Source organism: Homo sapiens, chromosome 18 (genome assembly GCF_000001405.40).
Source record: "Homo sapiens chromosome 18, GRCh38.p14 Primary Assembly".
NCBI lineage: Eukaryota > Metazoa > Chordata > Mammalia > Primates > Hominidae > Homo > Homo sapiens.
Window position 1 is genome coordinate 22,767,740 of NC_000018.10, and position 20,387 is coordinate 22,788,126.

The window sequence follows — 20,387 nt, forward strand, 5'->3', positions numbered from 1 at the left end:
TCACCTATTTCTCTCACAGAGACACATTCATTCAATTGGTCATTGATTTAACAAATAGTTACTCAGTATATAGCATGTGCTAGGTACTGTCCCAGGAACAGAAATAGAACAATGGAAAAAAAAGATATGGTTCCTGCCCTCACAGAGCTTGTAACTAGGGAAGGGGTAGATATCAAATAATTACACAAGTACATAATTACAAATATGGTAAGTGCTACAAAGGAGAAATTCAGTGCTCTATGAGACTATACAATATAAGCACCTATTCTAGTCTGGAAAATAAGAAAGACCCCTGCTTTAAAAAAATATTTATTACATTTTTTGAGTACCTATTATGTCTCAGATAGTACTAGCACCTACTATAAATGGGAGGATATATAGGTATACAATGTTAAATAAAAGATATAGAAGTACATTAATATTTATACTGTGGTGTGATATCTGATATGTAAATGATAAGCACAGAGCATATGAATAAGAGCTGAGAATCAGGAAAAACTTCCTGAAAGCACATGCAATAGTTCAGATGTGTATCCTGCTAAACCTCATTTTGAAGTTTGATCCCGAGAAATTCAAAGGATCATTAGTGGACACTAATGAGCAATTATATGCCAATAAATTGGAAAATCTAGAAGACATGAACAAATTCCTAGACACATACAACCTACCAAGATTGAACCATAAAGAAATGCAAAACCTGAACAGACTGAAAACAATGAGATCAAAGCTCCAATAAAAAGTCTTCCAATAAAGAAAAGCCTGGACCCTATGGCTTCACTGATGAAATTCTATAAACAATTAAAGAAGAATACCAGTCCTACTCAAATTATTCCAAAAAATAAAGGAGGAGGAAATATTTACAAACTAATTCTATGAGGCCAGTATTACCCTGATACCAAAACCAGACAAAGACACATCAACAAAAGAAAACTATAGGCCAATATCTCTGATAAATATTGATGCAAAAATCACCAACAAAATACTATCAAACTGAATTCAACAATACATTAGAAAGATCATTTATCATGACCAAGTGGGATTTATCCCTGGGATGCAAGAATGGTTCAACATATACAGATTAATCAATGCGATACATCATATCAACATAATGAAGGACAAAAACCATATGATCATTTCAATTGATGCTGAAAACGCATTTGATAAAATTCAACATCCCTTCATGATAAAAAAGACCTCAAAAGACTGGACATAGAAGGAATATACCTTAACATAATAAAAGCCACATATGACAGATCCACAGCTAATATCATACTAAATGGGGGAAAAAGCCTTTTCTCTAAGATCTGGAAAATGACAAGGATGCCCGCTTTCACCACTGTTATTCAACATAGTACTAGAAGTCCTAGCTAGAGCAATCTGATAAGATAAAGATATAAAGGGCATCCAAACTGGAATGAAAGAAGTCAAATTATCCTTGTTTGCAGGTGATATAATCTTATATTTAGAAAAACCTAAAGACTCCATAAAAAACTATTAGAACTGATAAATTCAGTAATGTTACAGGATGCAAATCAACATACAAAAATCAGTAGCATTTCTATATGCCAACAGTGAACAATGTGAATAAGAAATTTTAAAAGCAATCCCATTTACAATAGCAACAATAAAATTAAATACTTAGGAATTAACCAAAGAAGTAACATATCTCTATAATAGAAACTACAAAACACCGATGAAAGAAATTGAGTTCTTCAAAAGTGTGTAACTCCAAGTGAGCCTGTTCAATTTGGTCCCATAAGTCATAAATTATATGGATTTAAAAGTCGATCTAATATTAATAAAGGCTCACTTTGTTCTCAAAATTTGAAGTAATGCACATACTTATAGCCTAAAAAAATCGGCAAGAATTACAAAATTTCAAAACTGGCGCATTGTAAACTGCATATGCGTTTGCCAGGTAGCAGTGCCACTTGAAATGGTGAACAGATACACTGTTATTCTTTGTCAGTATCCTGTAAAGCCCAGGATTCTTTACCAGCACCACACAGCGATTTTGGTGACTATTTTAACATTCACATTGAGGTCAGGGGTGGTGGGTCATGCCTGTGATCCTAGCACTCTGGCAGGCCGAGGTGGGAGGATCATTTGAGCTCAGGAGTTCAAGATTAGCCTGGGTAACATAGTGAGACCCTGTCTCTATTAAAAAATAATAATACTGAGGCAGGAGAATGGCGTGAACCCGGGAGGCGGAGCTTGCAGTGAGCCGAGATCGCGCCACTGCACTCCAGCCTGAGCAACAGAGCGAGACTCTGACTCAAAAAATAATAATAATAATAACAATAAAAATAACATTCACATTGGTATTGTTCACTAAGATATTGTTCTTTAAGGCATTTCTTAAGGTATTGTTAAAACTTGTGTTAAGCATGTTAAAGTCTCAGTAACTTTGGGATAGAAATAAAATGTGATAAAAAGTGAAAGAAACCACCACAAGGGAGAGTCCTTTTTGAAATATTAGAGACATAATGCTGTCTAATAAAAAACGACATCAAAGAAAAACTACACTACAGTGATTGCAGACTTAATGTTGGCCAACCATGCATCCTCCCTAGAAATGCATTTGAATTTTATTTACTAATCTTTTATTTAGGAAATTTACATTTTTACATTACTGAGATTGGTCTTTTGGGCTATTATACTTTTTTTTTTTTTTTTTTGAGATGGAGTCTTGCTCTATCACCCAGGCTGGAATGCAGTGGTGCAATCTCGGCCCACTGTAACCTTCACCCCTGGGGTTCAAGTGATTCTCTGCCTCAGCCTTCTGAGTAGCTGGGACTACAGGCATGTGACACCACACCAGGCTAATTTTTGTATTTTTGGTAGAGATGGGGTTTTGCTATGTTGGCCAGGCTGGTCTTGAATTCCTGACCTCGGGTGATCCACCTACCTTGGCCTCCCAAAGTGCTGGGATTACAGGTGTGAGCCACCATGCCCAGCCTGGTTATTGTATTTTGACACTGGGATTTTGCTAGCTCTCTAAAGTAAATAGGATAACTGTATATCTTTTTCTGTGCATTAAGCAATTATAACATGGGAATGATTTGTTCATGAAAGGTTGAAAGTCTGTACTTGTAGAACTTTTGAGTTCACAGTGCTTTCAGAAATAATTTCTTTATAACTGTCAGTTTCTTCTGTGACTATTTTGTTATCTATTTTTAAATTTAAGCAACTTTAAATTTAAAAAATTTGTTTTAAAATAAAAAAAAAAGAAATTGAAAAGGACACCAAAAAATGGAAAGATATTCCATGTTCATGGATTGGAAGACTCAATATTGTTAAAATATTCATACTACCCAAAACAATCTACAGTTTCAAGGCAATCCCTATCAAAATACCAATAACATTCTTCATAGAAATGGAAAACACAATCCTAAAATTTATATGGAACCACAAAAGTCCCAGAATGGCCAAAGCTATCCTAAACAAAAAGAACAAAACTGGAGGAATCACATTACTTCAAATTATACTACAGAGCTATAGTAACCAAAACAGCATGGTACTGGCATAAAACAGACACATGAACCAATGGAACAGAATAGAGAACCCAGAAATAAATCTACACATCTACAGTGAATTCATTTTTTGACAAAGGTGCCAAGAACATACACTAGGGAAAAAACAGTCTTGTCAATTAATGGTTCTGGGGAAACTAGATATCCATATGCAGAAAAATGAAACTAGATCCTTATCTCTCACCATATACAAAAATCAAATCAAAATGGATTAAAGATTTAAATCTAAGACTTTGAACTGTGAAATTATTAAAAGAAAACATTGAAGAACATCTCTAGGACATTGGTCTGGGCAAAAAATTCTTGAGCAATACCACAAAAGCACAGAAAACCAAAGCAAAAATGAACAAATTGAATAATATCAAATTAAAAAGCTTCTGTATAGCAATGATACAATCAACAAAGTGAAGAAACAACCCACAGAATGGGAGAAAATATTTGCAAACTACTCATCTGACAAGGGATTAATAACTAGAATATATAAGGAGCTGAAACAACTCTATAGGAAAAAATATAATAATCTGATCAAAATGGGCAAAAGACTGGAATAGAAATGCCTATTTCTCAAAAGAAGACATACATATGGCAAACAGGCATATGAAAAAGGTGCTCAACATCATTAACCATCATAGAAATGCAAATCAAAACTACAATGATATCATCTCACCCCAGTTAAGATGGCTTATATACAAAAGACAGGTAATAACAAATGCTGGCAAGGATATAAAGAAAAGGGAGCCCTCTTACACTGCTGGTGGAAACGTAAATTAGTACAACCACTATGGATAACATCTTGGAGTTTCCTCAAAAAACTAAAAATAGAACTACCATATGATCCAGCAATCCCACTGCTGTGTATATACCCAAAAGAAAGGAAATCAGAATATAGAAGAGATATCTGCACTCCTAAGATTTGGAAGCAACCTAAGTGTCCATCAACAGATGAATGGATAAAGAAAATGTGGTACATATATACAACGGAGCACTATTCAGCCACTAAAAAGAATGAGATCCTGTCATTTGCAACAGCAATGGATGGAATTGGAAATCATTATGTTAAGGAAAATAAACTAGGCACAGAAAGACAAATATCACATGCTCTCACTTAATTGTGGGATCTAAAAATCAAAATAATTGAATTCATGAAGCTAGAGAATAGAAAGATGGTTACTAGAGGCTGGGAAGGGTGGTGGAAGATTGAGGAGGAGGTGGGGATGGTTAATAGGTATTTAAAAAAAATAGAAAGAATGAATAGGCCAGGCGCAGTGGCTCAAGCCTGTAATCCCAACACTTTGGGAGGCTGAGGCAGGTGGATCACCTGAGGTCAGGAGTTCGAGACCAGCCTGGCCAACATGGTGAAACCCCATCTCTACTAAAAATATAAAAATTAGCTGGGTGTGGTGGCACGCATCTGTAGTCCCAGCTACTCAGGAGGCTGAGGCAGGAGAATGGCGTGAACCTGGGAGGCAGAGATTGCAGTGAGCCGAGATCGCGCCACTGCACTCCAGCCTGGGCAACAGAGCAAGACTCCGTCTCAAAAAAATAAAAATAGCTTTGAAGACAATTCTCATTGAAGGAAGACGTCTTATGGAAACACACAATTGCTCAAAGATAAATGTATAAAGATATTCACTGGAGCTTTGTTCGAGACCAGCCTGGCCAACATGGTGAAACCCCATCTCTACTAAAAAAACAAAAATTATCTGGGCATGGTGTCACATGCCTGTAATCCCAACTACTTGGAAGGCTGAGGCAGGAGAATTGCTTGAACATGAGAGGCGGAGGTTGCAGTGAGCCGAAATCGTGCCATTGCACTCCAGCCTGGGCAACAAGAGCGAAACCCCGTCTCAAAAAAAAAAAAAGAAAGAATGAATGAATAAGACCTACTATTTGATAGCATAACAGGGTGACTATAGTCAATAATAACTTAATCGTACATTTTTAAATAACTAAAAGAATATAATTAGATTGTTTGTTACACAAAGGATAAGTGCTTGAGGGAATGGATACCCTATATGTGATTATTTCACATTGCATACCTTACCAAAACATCTCATGTATCCCATAAATATATATACCTATGTATCCACAACAATTAAAAATTAAAAAAAATTTTTTTTAAGAAATTCGATCCCTAGTGTTGGAGGTGGGGCCTAGTGGGAGGTGCTTGTGTCATGGGGGCAGATCCCTCACGATCAGGTTGGCGCTTTCCTTGAGGTAATGAATAAGTTCTCACTCTATTCGTTCCTGCAAGAACTGGTTGTAAAAAAAAGTCCGGCAACTCCCTCCTCTCTCTCCTGCTTCCTCTCTCCCCATGTGATCTGCACACACCCACTCCCCTTTGTCTTCTGCCATGAAGCCCTCACCAGAACCAGATGCTGGTAACATGCTCCTTGTACAGCCTGTAGAACCATGAGCCAAATAAACCTATTTTCTTCATAAATTACCCAGCCTCAGATATTATTTTATAGCAACACAAATGGACTAAGACAGTATATCAGCCTCCTTTTCAAGAGTGACTAAGAATTATTGAGCCAGAGAAAGGGGACATTCCAGTTAAAGGGAAGAGCGTAGGCAAAGCTTTGGAGAAGGTTGTATCATAATACATTTGGAGAGTAAGGAGTTCACTGTGGTTAAAGCAGAGAGGGTATAGGGGGATAGGGATATTATTGACCCATCTATATGTCACACTGACCATCCAAGCCTTAAAAGTCAAAAAAAAAAAGAACTTTAAGGATAGATGATGCTTCACAAAAACAATATTCAGCTACAAGTGAATTATAATTACAATACGTATGCTAGACAAGACTAATAACTAATAAATATATGGTGACTGAGGAGGATAGTGTGTGTGGGTGTGTGGGTGTGTGGGTGTGTGCGTGTGCGTGTGTGTGTGGGGGGGGTGTGTGAGTGTGTTATGTACATGTAGCAGAGGAGGGTTGAAAGTTATAACAAACTACACTCCAAAATATTTTACAAACAACCTGTAACAGTTTGAGTAGGTATGTGTTTGCAGTCCAGGTCATAACAACATAAAACATAGCCAGAAATGTAACTATGACACTGCATAAACAAAAGGAAAATAAAGTACGATGATCCCATTACTGATCATGCATACTGGCATGCATCTCATTCATTAGAGTACTTTAAACTAGGTTTAAGTATACAATTGATGAAAGGAGTTTGTTTTGTTTTTGTTTTTGTTTTTTAAGCTGGAATGCAGTGCTGCAATTTGTCTGTCCTAGCAGCATTGCCTATGGACAGTCATTAATCAGAAGTGAATTATTACTTCCTTATGAAATTTAGCTTCAGTTTTTTCCTCTTGAACTTATCTGGAAATCTTTAACATGGAGAGTCATGCTAGATCCTTTCCTAGTTGGAAAATTCAACTCATCCCTCACATTTATCTTCTGAAGCCCACTTCTCTTTATTCCGTCAGAGTGTACCAACTGAGATTAAGTTCCTTTCCATCTCTCACATATATGTGTCTGTCACTGTCAAGAATTGTGGCGATTAATTTTAAGGGGAGGGGGCTAAAAACCTACATATGGGGTAGTTTAAACAAAACCACACCTTTAGCTATCAATCAAATGAACCAGATGATTGTTTCTAAAAACTCAACTTTGAAAAGATTATTCTGCACTAAGGTTTTTGTTTTGTTTGGTTTTGGTTTTGTTTTTAAAATAAAAAAGAACAATTCAAGTTTGGGGAAGTAACCAGAGCCTCAAATGAAATATTGGCTATCTTTTTAAAAATTTTATACACCAATGGGTGTTTTGTTACTTTTGCTTTAAATGCGGCCTTTAATTTCTTTCTTCTTTTTTAAATTAAGAAGCTGTATTGTTCAGAGTGCAAGTTACTGAGACATTATCAATTTCTCCCAACACACCAGGTTCACTGCACAGAGGCTTGTTCTACTGGTTAGACCTAGAGCTCATTAATATTAAAAAGTGAGGTTACTTCATTATTGGACTGAAATTTCCATTTTCACTTGCCCTGTCTTTAGCTCTGTCCTTCTAACATCAATGAGTAAGATAGAAACATGGAAAATATGCTCATCAAATTTATAGATGATAAAAAGCCAGGAGTGACAGCAAATGTTGTTGATACAAGGATCAAGATTCAGAAAGATTTATGAGAGGCTAGGGCAACGGGCTAAATGTAATATATAAAATTTAGAATGAATAAGTACAAGATCCTCAACATGGGTTCAAAAATCAATCTTGCAAGTTTAGTAACAGCAAGTATGTAAAAGACTTAGGAATCTTAATTAATAATGAGCTCAGTGTGTGTTAACAGTGTGATATGATTCCAAAAAAAAACTAATGGCACTTGATAGTGCTCTAAGAAAGTGTAACATTGAGAATGAGAAGGTGGATAACTTAGTCCTGAATTCAGCTTTGGGTGCATATATTACAGTATCCTTGGGATATGCTTGGTTAAAGAAACTGAATCCAAATTGCAAAAGAACCTGTTCAAGGGACTAGATTATTCAACCTAAAGCTAAGATTTAGAGAACAAAGAGTAGCTATACTCAAATAGTTAAAAAAGGGATTCAATGTACTGTCCATAGATCCAGAAGGGGAGAACTAGGATTAATGAATGTGAATTTCAGGCAGGCAGATTTCAGCTCAGCAAGAATAAACTCTTTCTTCTTCAGACAAATATTAAGCCAAAAATGGAATGGGCAACCTCATAGTTCCCTACCCCTCACTGGTGGTACTCAAGCCCAGGCTGGAAAACTTCTGCCAGGGGAAAATCAAACAAACATTACAATGATGATTCAAGAATTATGTGTATTATTGGACTGGATAGTCTATGATCTATGCTTTTTAGACAAACTCAGCTATCACAAAAAGACCTCTTCAAAGACAGCTCATCTAGGCCCCCACGAAGCATACAATCTCTTACAGCTGTCAGAAATTATAGCCCCAAGTGTGGTAAAGCTGATGGGAAGCTAATATTTTAGTTGTTCTACGTGGAATCTTAGCCAAAAGGTCAAGAAGCAATATATTTCAGCAGTGTGCAGCGGCCTAAGAGAGAGAAGGACCATTATTTTATTATGTGACCCTTCTTCCAACTGGGTGAGATCATCCTTGTGTTTCCAAAAACATTGCCCAGACCCTGTGTGGACTGTAGGGTGCAGTAATGTTATACTTGGGCCTTTCAAAAAAAATGATGTGCCAAGAACAAACCCAACTCAGGATTCCCAAACAGAAATTGGAGGACCTTTTAGTCAGAGCGAAGAATACAAAGATCTGTGAAGCCAGAAGCTTCAGAGATTAAGCTGAATCAGGAATTTATTTACCTAAAATGTGTTCAGACCAAGTATCATTAATGCTTTCCATCTTGACACATTCGGTAAAAGAAGCAAACTTTCCAGGATGCCATGCCTCACTTTATATCATATAATCTGATACGGGGTGGGGTAGGGGAAGTACAGTAAATCTAGAGTCCTCATTTTCTTATATTGTGTTTGAGAATATTTTTCTGAATCTATGTAAGTACTTTTTTTTTTGAGATGGAATCTCACTCTGTCACCCAGGCTAGAGTACAGTGGCGCAATCTTGGCTCACTGCAAGCTTCACCTCCCGGGTTCACGCCATTCTTCTGCCTCAGCCTCCCGAGTAGCTGGGACTACAGGCACCCGCCACCACGCCTGGCTAATTTGTTGTATTTTTTAGTAGAGATGGGGTTTCACCGTGTTAGCTAGGATGGTCTCGATCTCCTGACCTCGTGATCCGCCCACCTCGGCCTCCCAAAGTGCTGGGATTACAGGCATGAGCCACCACGCCCGGCCTGAAAGTACTTTTTTATCTCTCCCTGAGAACTTATGACATTGCTGTTCCTGATACCTGACACCGTGACCATTCTCAAAACTGCAGAACTATCGACCAGAAGAATGAAAAGTTATCCCCCTCAAACTACAAGGGGAATACTAGAAGAAAAGGAAAAGCAAAAGGCCTCTCCACTTTAAAAGCCCATGGTCTCTTCCACCAGAAGGTAAGAAAGAACGGCCATTACTTATTTAGCTCAATTAAGTAAGAACTTTCTTATAGTCAGCTATGACCAAGAAAACAATGGGCTGCCTTGGGGAGCTCAAGCATGGATTAACCTATCCATCACTAAAACAAGGTTGCTCAAGTCGAGCACAAAGAAACCTAGTGGGTACTTTTGTACCTAATTCCTTAGAGACATGTTTAAGAAGCCCCAGAAGTTACATGTCCAAGCCAAATGGGTTTGCTAAGGTGTCATCATCACATCAATAATTTTGATCTTCAGTGCTAAAAATATGAAACATATACAGGCAGTGCTGCTTTAGTTGAATTGGGTGGTAATGGTGAAGATAGGTGGAGAGAAGGGAACCTGTTTTTATTTGCTTTGAATCTTTACTATTCTACGTAAATTTTATTCTGAAAAAAAGATTCCTCAGATATTCTGGTATTTTGAAGCCCACTAGGTAATTATTATTCCTCCCAGAAGAATCTGCATTATCCTACAAGAGGGAGACTTCTAGAAATGCAAAAAGGACACAACATTATCATTTTCTCCTACCGCCTGTTCAAACCTGTTCCATGAAGCTAATTCTCTTCTCTCCTTGAGATGAACCTAGAGTATGTCTATTGTCTAGCCCCATCAGATACGAAAATACAAAATTCCACACAAAACACTTTACTCTCACTTTTATCCAAAATCTAACTTACTTCAATTATTTAAATATCCTTTCCCATGTAACAGTCAAAAAATTAAAACCCCAAGCTTCATTTAGAGGGAATGCTTCTTCCCCTCCCCAGCATGGGCTGCTACAGGCTGGAAGCCTGCAATGGGAAAGAGGGACATGGTCACCTTCTTCTCTGGGTGCCTTTCCTTGCTTCTCTTCCTCCCTGTCAGCTTTCTTGCTGTGGTTTCTGCTCTCTCCAGAGTTGAAGTAGGGCAAAGGGGAAGGTGGTACTGTTTGGTAAGGAGCAGAAAAGGTTGTACCTGAAAGGAACCAGAATTGCCTAGTGTTAATGCTCTCTGGGTCGGAAATGAGTTTTAAACTGTCTCTTTTCCTCATGGGGGCACTTCTGCTATTTCTATGGTGACTCCCCTTCTCCATTAGGACAGCTATTAGATTGAGGTTCCTTTGAGACATCAATCTCTCTCTTCTGGCTGGTTGCTTACAGCCTTCTCACCCCCTACTCCTCTGACTAGACACTTCTATCCCTTTCCTGTAAGATTTCCTTACCTGTGTCAGGAAACCCCCTAAGGTGTGGTCCCTCAGCAGCTCTGTCTGACATGTCCCACACCTGATCCATAGAACACATATACACACATATACTTCTCAGTGCTTCAGGGTCCTCTTCTGTAAGATGGAGATATTAAGCCAAGTGCAGTGGCACACACCTATAGTCCCTGCTATTCCAGAGGCTGAGGTGGGAGTACCACTTGAACCCATGAGTTTGAGGCTGTTGTGCACTATTATCGGGACTGTAAATAGCCACTGCACTCCAGCCTGGGCAACACAGTGAGACCTCATCTCTATAATAAATAAATAAGAGAATATTAATAGCAACTCTCTCCTATGGTTGTTGTGAAGATTAAACAAAACAACAACTGGCCCAAAATAAACACTAAGATAACAGTAACTTTCCCAAGCTCATATTATTAGTAGTAAGTAGTAAAACTAGATCTGTCCTCCTTCAAAGCCAGGGAGGTACATTTCCTGTCACACTACATTTCCAGGAGGGAGGTATTTTGAACCAAGGAACTACCCAGAACTACTCAATTCATCCACTCTGCTCACTCATAAGACTGGCTATGGGCATGGTTTTGGCAACAAATTGATTGTCCTGGCACCTCTGGTTCAACTCTCCAGCAGCACCCTAAAGCTGTAGATCAGCAGCAGGAAGTCCCTGGGCATCCTCCCCCTTCACTCCAGAGCATCACACCAGGCTGAACTCAAGAGCTGTCACAATGCTGGGAAAAGTGCCAAACTAATCTCTAGAGCATGGGGCACTCTGACACTTGACATAGACAAGAGGATAACTTTTTTCACCTTCGAGCCAACATTATACTCTTCAAATCCTCTTTTAGGAAACCTTATATAAAACCATGCTCACTCAATAGACAGCCTCCAAAGTGAAGCCTGTCTCACTAGGTCTTTGACACTCCTTCATTAGGTGACTATCTGCTACCAACATAGAGCAAAACTAGAGAGATTTCTGCCCTAGAGACCACATCTTGAGGTGCAGAATTTTCCCACTCTCTGTTCTCTCAAAGTATTCCTTAGAGTATTCCTTAATTGATATAGTTACATTAAATTATAGAGCTAGTCTCACGTAGACTATTCATTAAATATTCTCTTTCAGCACACCAGAGTCACATTTTCTATGCTTTAAAGGTCAGAAATCTTTTTGCAAACTTCATATCTTTCCACCCCAAGGTGGAGATTCATCTTCAAAGGTTCCTAAAAGGGATGTGATTCTATCGCAAAGAACATCTTCCTCTGGAAAGAACCAACTGGCTTCCATCAAAGCATTTCACAACATTTATGCATCATTCCTACAGGCTACTTGGTAATTGCAAAGACAAAGATGTACCTTTACACAGGGGCAATATCTAGTACCTTAACCACATAATCAAGCTAAGCATCACTGATAGTAGGATACTCTAATGTTATGTTCTTACTGATGTGAAGTGATACAAAACACAAAGCATCATTTATTACATATCTTGCCAAATATGTTTAACTTGAATCTTATCAACCCTTTAAACCTAATTTCCAGTTTATGGGAAATAGAAATGATAAAGGAACAAGTCTAAAAAAAAAAAACCAACAAACAAAAAAATAACCATAAGGAAACAAGAAGGCTAATTCAGAACATAGAATGTCCTATAAGACAACTGGCCAAGTTTCTTCAAAAAGTCAATTTCACAGGGAAAAAAAATAGGTGACACTGCTCAAAAATAAGACACTAAGGAGATATAATAACCAAATATAATGCATGAAACTTCATAGAGTCATGGTTTGAAGGAAATAACTGTAAGACACATCATGGAGAAAAACTGAGGAAATTTCAGTGTGAATTAGATATGAGTTGATATTAGGCAACTGTTACTTTCCTGAGGTGTCATAGTAGAATGTAACTATAGTAGAATATACTTATAATTAACATATATGTGATGAAGTGTTTGTAAGTAAAGCATCATGATGTCCAACCAATGTGTATGCACATATCCACACACATTCAACATGTGTTAACAAGTGTGGGTATTATAAGTGGATATGCAAGTATTCATTGTAATATTCTTTCAAATTTTCAGCATGTTTAAAAATTATAAAAATACAGGTGAAATGTTTCTATTTGCAGATGTGAGGACAGTGTAGAAAATCCCAAAGTATCTATAAAAGCAAAATGAAACAAAATACCTCCTAAAGCTAATTAAGTTCAGCCAGCCGATTAGGTATTACTGCAATGGGCTGCCCAGTAATCAAAGAGGACTACTTATTTCCCACCAGGGTTTTTACAAAAAGATTCATTCTGATAAGTTCTCTGATGAAGTTCAGACATTGTTACAGGGGGTGGCACCAGCTTCTCTACATCTCTATCAAAATCAAAGAAAACTCAGAAAAAAATGGAAAACAAAAGTTGCCTTATTATTCTACTATTTGAGCAGAATCTACCTGACACAAAGCAAATGCTTGTTTAATTTCAATGACATTCATAAAGTTGTAATTGAGAAGGAAAAAACGTAAAATTTATTTAAGAAGTCTATAAATCTCCCTATTTACAAAACTTTTCTTAATATACAAAATAAACTGGGATCAAAAGTTTTTATAACCCTAAAAAAAAAATACAAAAGTACAGCCAGGTTACAGCTTAATCAACACACAAATCAACTGCATTTCTTTATACAACAATGGACATATGAAAACTAAAATTAAAAACACAATGCCATTTAAAATTGCTCCAAAGAAATACTTAGGTATAAATGTAAAAAAGTAAACACACCATGTACAAAATATGTATGCTTTAACTACAAAATATAATTTAAAAATTAAAGAGCCAGGCACAGTGGCTCACACCTGTAATCCCAGCACTTTGGGAGGCCGAGGCAGGTAGATCACCTGAGGTCAGGAGTTTGAGAACAGCCTGACCAACATGGAGAAACCTCATCTCTACTAAAAATACAATGCCTAATTTCATTACTTACCCAGCAGTCATTCAGGAGCAGGTTGTTTAATTTCCATGTAGTTATATGGTTTTTAGTGAGTTTCTTAATCTTGAGTTCTAATTTGATTGTGCTGTGGTCTGAGAGACTCTTACAATTTCAGTTTTTTGCATTTGCTGAGGAGTGTTTTACTTCCAATTATGTGATTGATTTTAGAGTAAGTGCTATGTGGCACTGAGAATAATGTATATTTTGTTGTTTTTGGGTGGAGAGCTCTGTAGGTATCTATGAAGTCCACTTGATCCAGAGCTGGAGGTCAAGTCCTGAATATCCTTGTTAATTTTCTGTCTCGATGATCTAATTGACAATGGGGTGTTAAAATCTCCCACCATTATTGTGGGGGTGTCTAAGCCTCTTTGTAGGTCTCTAAGAACTTGTTTTATAAATCTGGATGCTCCTGTATTGGGTACATATATATTTAGGATAGTTAGCTCTTCTTGTTGAATTGAGCCCTTTACCATTATGTATTGCCCTTGTCTTTTTTGATCTTTGTTGGTTTAAAGTCTGTCTTGTCAGAAACTAGGATTACAACCCCTGCTTTTTTCTGCTTTCCATTTTCTTGGTGTTTCCATTTTCTTGGTAAATTTTCTTGCATCCCTTATTTTAAGCTTATGTGTGTCTTTGCACATGAGATGGGTCTCTTGAATATAGCACACCAATAGGTCTTGACTCTTTATACAGCTTGCTGTTCTGTGTCTTTTAATTGGGGCATTTAGCCCATTTACATTTAAGGTTAATATTGTTATGTGTAAATTTGATCCTGTCATCATGACGCTAACTAGTTATTTTGCACACTTGTTGATGTAGTCGCTTCATAGTATCATTGGTCTTTGTACTTCCATGTGTTTTTGTAGTGTTAGACTGGTAATGACTTTTGTGGTGTAGGCTGATAATGATTTTTCCTTTTCATCTTTAGTGCTTCCTTCAGAAGCTCTTGCAAGGCAGGCCTAGTGGTGAAGAATTCCCTCAGCATTTGCTTGTCTGAAAAGGATTTTATTTCTCCTTCGCTTATGAAGCTTAGTTTGGTTGGATATGAAATTCTAGGTTGAAAATTCTTTTAAGAATGTTGAATATTGGCCCCCAATCTCTTCTGGCTTGTAGAGTTTCTGCTGAGAGGTCAACTGTTAGTCTGATGGGCTTCCCTTTGTAGGTGACATGGCCTTTCTCTCTGGCTGCCCTTAATGTTTTTTCCTTCATTTTAACCTTGGAAAATCTGATAATTATGTGTCTTGGGATTTATCTTCTCATGGAGTCTCTTACTGGGGTTCTCTGGATTTCCTGAATTTGAATGTTGTTCTGTCTTGCTAGGTTGGGAAAGTTCTCCTGTATGATATCCTGAAGTATGTTTTCCAACCTGGTTCCATTCTCCCCATCTCTTTCAGGTACCCCAATCAGTCATAAGTTCAGTCTTTTTACATTATCCCATAGTTTTCAGAGGTTTTGTTCACTCCTTTTCATCCTTTTTTCTCTAATCTTGTCTGCCTTCCTTATTTCAGCAAGATAGTCTTCAATCTCTGAAATGCTTTCCTCCACTTGATGCATTCGGCTATTGATACTTGTGGTTGCATTGTGAAGTTCTTTTGTGTTGTGCTTTTCAGCTCCATCAGGTCATTTATGTTCCTCTCTAAACTAGTTATTCTGGTTAACATTTCCTGTAATGTTTTATCATGGCTCTTAGCTTCTTTGCATTGGGTTAGAACATCTGCCTTTAGCTCAGCAAAGTTTGTTATTACTCACCTTCAGAAGCCTACTTCTGTCAATTAATTCATCTCAGCCTCCACTCAGTTCTATGCCCCTGTTGGAGAGGTCTTGCGATCATTTGGAGGAGAAGAGGCACTCTGGTTTCTTGAGTTTTCAGCATTTTTTTTGTTGATTCTTTCTCATCTTCATGAGTTCATCTAGCTTCAATCTTTGAGGCTGCTGACCTTTGGATGGGGTTTTTGGAGGGACTTTTTTGTTGATGCGGTTGTTACTGTGTTTTCTGTTTGTTTGTTTTTCTTTTAACAGTCAGGCCCTTCTTCCGTAAGGCTTCTGCAGTTTGCTGGGGGTCCACTCCAGACCCTATTTGCCTGGGTCCCTCCCTACCTGGAGGTATCACCACTGGAGGCTGCAAAACAGCAAAGATGGCTGCCTGCACCTTCCTCTGGGATCTGTGTCCCGGAAGGGGACTGACCTGATGCCAGCAGAAAAGCTCCTGTATAAGGTGCCTCGCAACCCCTGTGGGTGGGCAGGGGGAGGGGAGGTCTCATCCAGTCAAGACGGACAGGATCAGGAACCCCCTTAACAAAGCACTCTGGCTGTCCCTTGGCAGAGGGGATGCACTGCACTGTGGGGAATCCCATTCATCAGGACTGCCCGGATTCCACAGTCAGCACTGGGAAAGACTAAGTTTGCTGATCTGCAGAGACTGCCCCTCCTCCCTGGGGCTCTGTCCCAGGGAGATCAGAGTTCTGTCTGTAAACCCCTGGTTGGAATTGCTGAAATTCCCACAGGAAGGCCCTGCACAGTGAGGAGCGATGGGTCAGGGTCCAGCCTAGAGAGGCAGTCTGGCCACAATCTGCCATAGCTGCTGTGCTGTGCCATGGGGAATTCCTCCTGAGTCCAAATCACCCAGTATCCCCAGCACTGGCAGGGGGAAAACAGCAGACTGGAGCTGCAGTGATGGCTCCTGCCCCTCCCCGCAGGTGCTCAGTCATCTTAGGCAGCAGGAGAATGCAGTGATGGTGGTCAACCCTCCCCCTGGAAACTCAGTAGTCTTAGGCAGTCTCCAGCCAAGTGGCCACCAAGAATCTTCACAGCTCTATGCTTGGGACCCAAGGCCCTGGTGGCACGGACTCACAAGGGGGATATCCTGACCTGTGGGTTGCACAGATCTGTGGAAAAAGTGTGGTTTCCTGGGGCAGGTAGCACAATCACTCACACCTCCCTTGGCTGGGGGTGGGAGCTCCCCTTCCCCTGCACTCCCAGGAGGGCCATTGCTCCACCCTGCTTTTCCTCACTCTCCATGGGTTGCGCCAACTGCCTAATTCAATGAGAGAACCTGGATACCACAGTTGCCAGTGCAGGATTCGTTGGCCATTTTCATTATCTTGGTGGGAGCCTCTGATGGCAACTGCTTCTAGTCAGCCATCTTGGCCCCTCCCCGCTACCACTTTTCTTATGACAACAAACTTGAAAATCTAAAGGAAACAAATGATGTTCTATCAAAATATAAATTCCCCAAATTAACTAAATGACAAGTAGAACACCTAAACAACCCAACAACTACAGAATTTGAAAATATATATATATTTTTTATATATAATATACATATATTAAAGCTCTACAATTAAAAATGGTACCAGATTCAGGATGTTTGTGGATAAGTTGTCCCTAAATTCAAGGAACAACAATAGAAGGCTTCCCAATTCAATTTACAGTTCTATCATAATATTAATGCCAATACCTGACAAACATATTCCAACAAGAAAACTAGAATACTTACAATTAAAATCTGAAACCAGATATTAACAAATTAAATCTAGCAATGTGTTAAAATAGTTATATTCTATAACTAAGCAAAGTTTATTCCAGAAAGCAACATTTCCCAATTTTAAGAAATCTATTAGTATAATGTATTACATTAAAAATTTTTTAAAGAAAAATATGTAATTAAGTAAGTACATGCCAAAAATATATTTAAGGTATTGGAACAGATATTCCTGATCAATTTTCAGTAGTGATTTTTAAGATGTGAATATTTTATCTCTTCATGCAAATTATAAGCCTTTCTCATACCATATATTATTTCTGTCTGTGAGCTACATCTACCTGCTATACCCTCATTCTGCCATAGATCCCAGGAATTTCTATGTAGTGTATCAATCAATATATTTAGAAGTAGTTTAAACATGCCTTTCAGGAGACTAGCCTAAGTAAATGCTTCGTGAAAAAAATGTCTATGGCTTAGTAAGTTTGGGAAAACTATATATTGTGTTTTTCTCTTAGAGATTTGCAACAAAGGTTAATTTAAAGACTCAGAGAAGTCTTCCAGGGTTTCCCAAGTTAATTGAACATAAAACACTTTTGTTCTTATGATGCCTATTAATACCCCATGAATACACTTTGATAAACACTGGTTTAGATCATGTCACCACAATGTCAGTCTCAGCACGGGTGGCATTTATTGTTCAGGGCATTGTGTGAGGTACTACTGCAGATATTGAATTATAAGATATAATCTATTCCCACAGATGATTATAATGAAGTTTAGTCAGAACATATAAATAAAGAGATAAATAATTTGAGGCAACATGGCATACGTACCATATAAGCCATCCAAACAAAAAGTGTAGCAAGGGTGCATAGGAGGCAGGAATGTTAGATGCTAAATGGTTGAGGAAGGTGTCTAGGAGGATATATGAGTTAATCCTTGGGAGAAAACACACACACACAAACACACACACACACACACGGCAAAAATGTGAATCATATATTTGGGAGAAATTAAAGCACTGGTTTATAGCTGTTCAAAAGGTAGGTAGGGTGACAGTGTAAAGTATCTTGCTTTAAGGATCTGGATCTTTATTACTCAGCCCATAAAGAACTAATGGAGGTCTTTCAGCAAGGAGAGAGCATCTCAGGGTAAGTGTATTTATAGAAAGTTGCAATTAACACAAAAGTTTTCAAAAAAATGTTTTCTGTTTGACTCCTGTCTTAGCCTAGGCTCCCCACAAAAGCAGAACATATGACAAAGTCCAATGTACAGATGCTTTATTCTGGGGTATGATCCCAAGGAGCTGCAGGGAGAGCCTGGGAAGAATAAAAAAAGGAAGAGGGAAATGCAACCCAATCTAGCTCCTCACCACTGTGGGCAACTGAGGCTTGATTCCTCTGGGATCCTCTAAAAGGACCAGAAAGGATACCTCTCAGAATTATTCACTCAGGAGTTGAAAAAGAGAAACATTTATCTTCCAGTTCCCAGACCCCATTAACAAAGGATTGCCCTCACATCTGCAGGTTTGTATATGCTCCAGAATGCCCACATGCATTTCTACAGGTATCCTACTTAGTGAAGGTGGAGAAACCCTGGGGCAGAAAGTGAGAAATAAACAGTGAATCTAAAGTGAGGCATTGTCAAGTTATACCTGCATGCAACTGGTGACCCCAGCAATGGCTGGAGTAAAAAGGGGACTCCTCCCAGAAAAGTCTATATAAGAGGTGTCTGGTAGACTCTCCAAAGGAAGGTCAATCCAACTCAACACCATACTTCCTGGTTCCTACCTGATTTATTTTCCAGCAATCCTTTACACACATGGTCGTTTCATATGTGGTCATCTCTAGGCTTTTTAGCATTGTTTTTTTTTTTCTCCTTCCATTTCCCCATGTCATTCTAAAACAAATAAATGAAAACAAACAAAAAATAGACATACCATTTTTTAAATGTTGCTTTAATTTATTTATACAAAGAAAAACCATTTTAGATTTGTTTAATAAGGTAAATTTGATGGCAAAATGACCACTAGAACAAGTTCTCAGACAAGATGTATATGCTCTGTAGGTAAAAATAAACTTCTACAAGAAAGTTTTCAATAAATTTTACACTTCTATGACAGCCCTGTATCCCCAGTCAGAACCAAGCAAAGCACTAAAGTCATTCCTCTGCTTATTCCAGTTACCGGGTCTGCTTTGGCAGAAGCCATATTTGGAAATCTGGTTCTTCATAATTGCCACAAACCAGCAATACTCATCTTCCATTCATTTAACAAATATTCGTTGAGGACCCTCTGTGATCCAGGTATGATTTTAAGCTCTGGAGATTAAGGTCTGAACAAAACAGAGTAAGTCTCTGCCCTCATGAAACTTACAATCTCGCAGGGGAAGTATACAAGTAAATATGTAATATGTTGAATGGTGACAGAAGCTGTGGAAAAAAAACAAAACAGTATAAGAGAATAAAGGATTCCCAGATGAGAAGTGGAAAGATGGGTATCACAATTTTATATAGCATGGTTATAAAATAAATTTGTACAGAGACATGAAGGAAGTGAGAGAATGAGCCACGTAGATAGATGGGGAAGAAACATACCAGATGTGGTAAAAACAGCTGGCAAGAACTTGAGGCAAAGTAATGCTCACCCCATTCAGGGAAGAGTGAGGAGGCCACTGCAGTGAAAGCAGAGTGAGCGGGGGGATGTTAAAGGAGGGGATGTCAGAGAGGTAGCCTTGGGTGAGATGATATAGGGCCTTGGAGACCATTATAAAACTTAGGGCTTTACTCTAATTGAAACAGGAAGCTATAGAAGGATTTTCAGAAGAGGAGTCATGTAATCAACTCACATTTTTAAAGGATCATTCTTATTGCCATGGAGAATAGATATAGGTGTCCTAGGGTAGAAGTGAGCAGGCCACTTAGGAAGGTAGGTGGAAGATAATGATGGCCCAGATGAGAATGATAGCAGCAAGAAATGGTAGGGTTCTAATTATATTTTGAACACAGAGCGGGCAAGATTAGTTGATGAATTGGATGTGTTCTACAACAGAAAATGAGAAATCAAAAATGACTCTAAGATTTTTGACGTGAATTGCCATTTAACACAAAGAGAACTGTAGGTTTGAGGTTGAAAAAATTAAAAGTTCAGCTTAGGGCATGTTAAGTGT

The 20,387-nt window shown here is 38.4% G+C and overlaps 1 long non-coding RNA gene across 1 annotated transcript in view, besides 2 other annotated features; it reads right to left on the bottom strand.

The window, feature by feature from the left end:
* The window catches only part of RBBP8-AS1 (RBBP8 antisense RNA 1), a 210,274-nt gene that overhangs the window by 44,249 nt on the left and 145,638 nt on the right, over window positions 1–20,387 (bottom strand). The window contains exon 3 of the long non-coding RNA NR_198963.1: window positions 19,011–19,119. This is a non-coding gene — a long non-coding RNA (RBBP8 antisense RNA 1). The remainder of the gene's footprint in view (window positions 1–19,010; window positions 19,120–20,387) is intronic.
* Window positions 15,911–16,460: an enhancer, noted in NCBI's record as "H3K27ac-H3K4me1 hESC enhancer chr18:20363613-20364162 (GRCh37/hg19 assembly coordinates)". NCBI's record gives its function as "activates a minimal SCP1, AML or CMV promoter by ChIP-STARR-seq in primed H9 embryonic stem cells {active_cell/tissue: H9 hESC(primed)}" and the evidence as "EXISTENCE:reporter gene assay evidence [ECO:0000049][PMID:30033119]".
* Window positions 16,461–17,010: an enhancer, noted in NCBI's record as "H3K27ac-H3K4me1 hESC enhancer chr18:20364163-20364712 (GRCh37/hg19 assembly coordinates)". NCBI's record gives its function as "activates a minimal SCP1, AML or CMV promoter by ChIP-STARR-seq in primed H9 embryonic stem cells {active_cell/tissue: H9 hESC(primed)}" and the evidence as "EXISTENCE:reporter gene assay evidence [ECO:0000049][PMID:30033119]".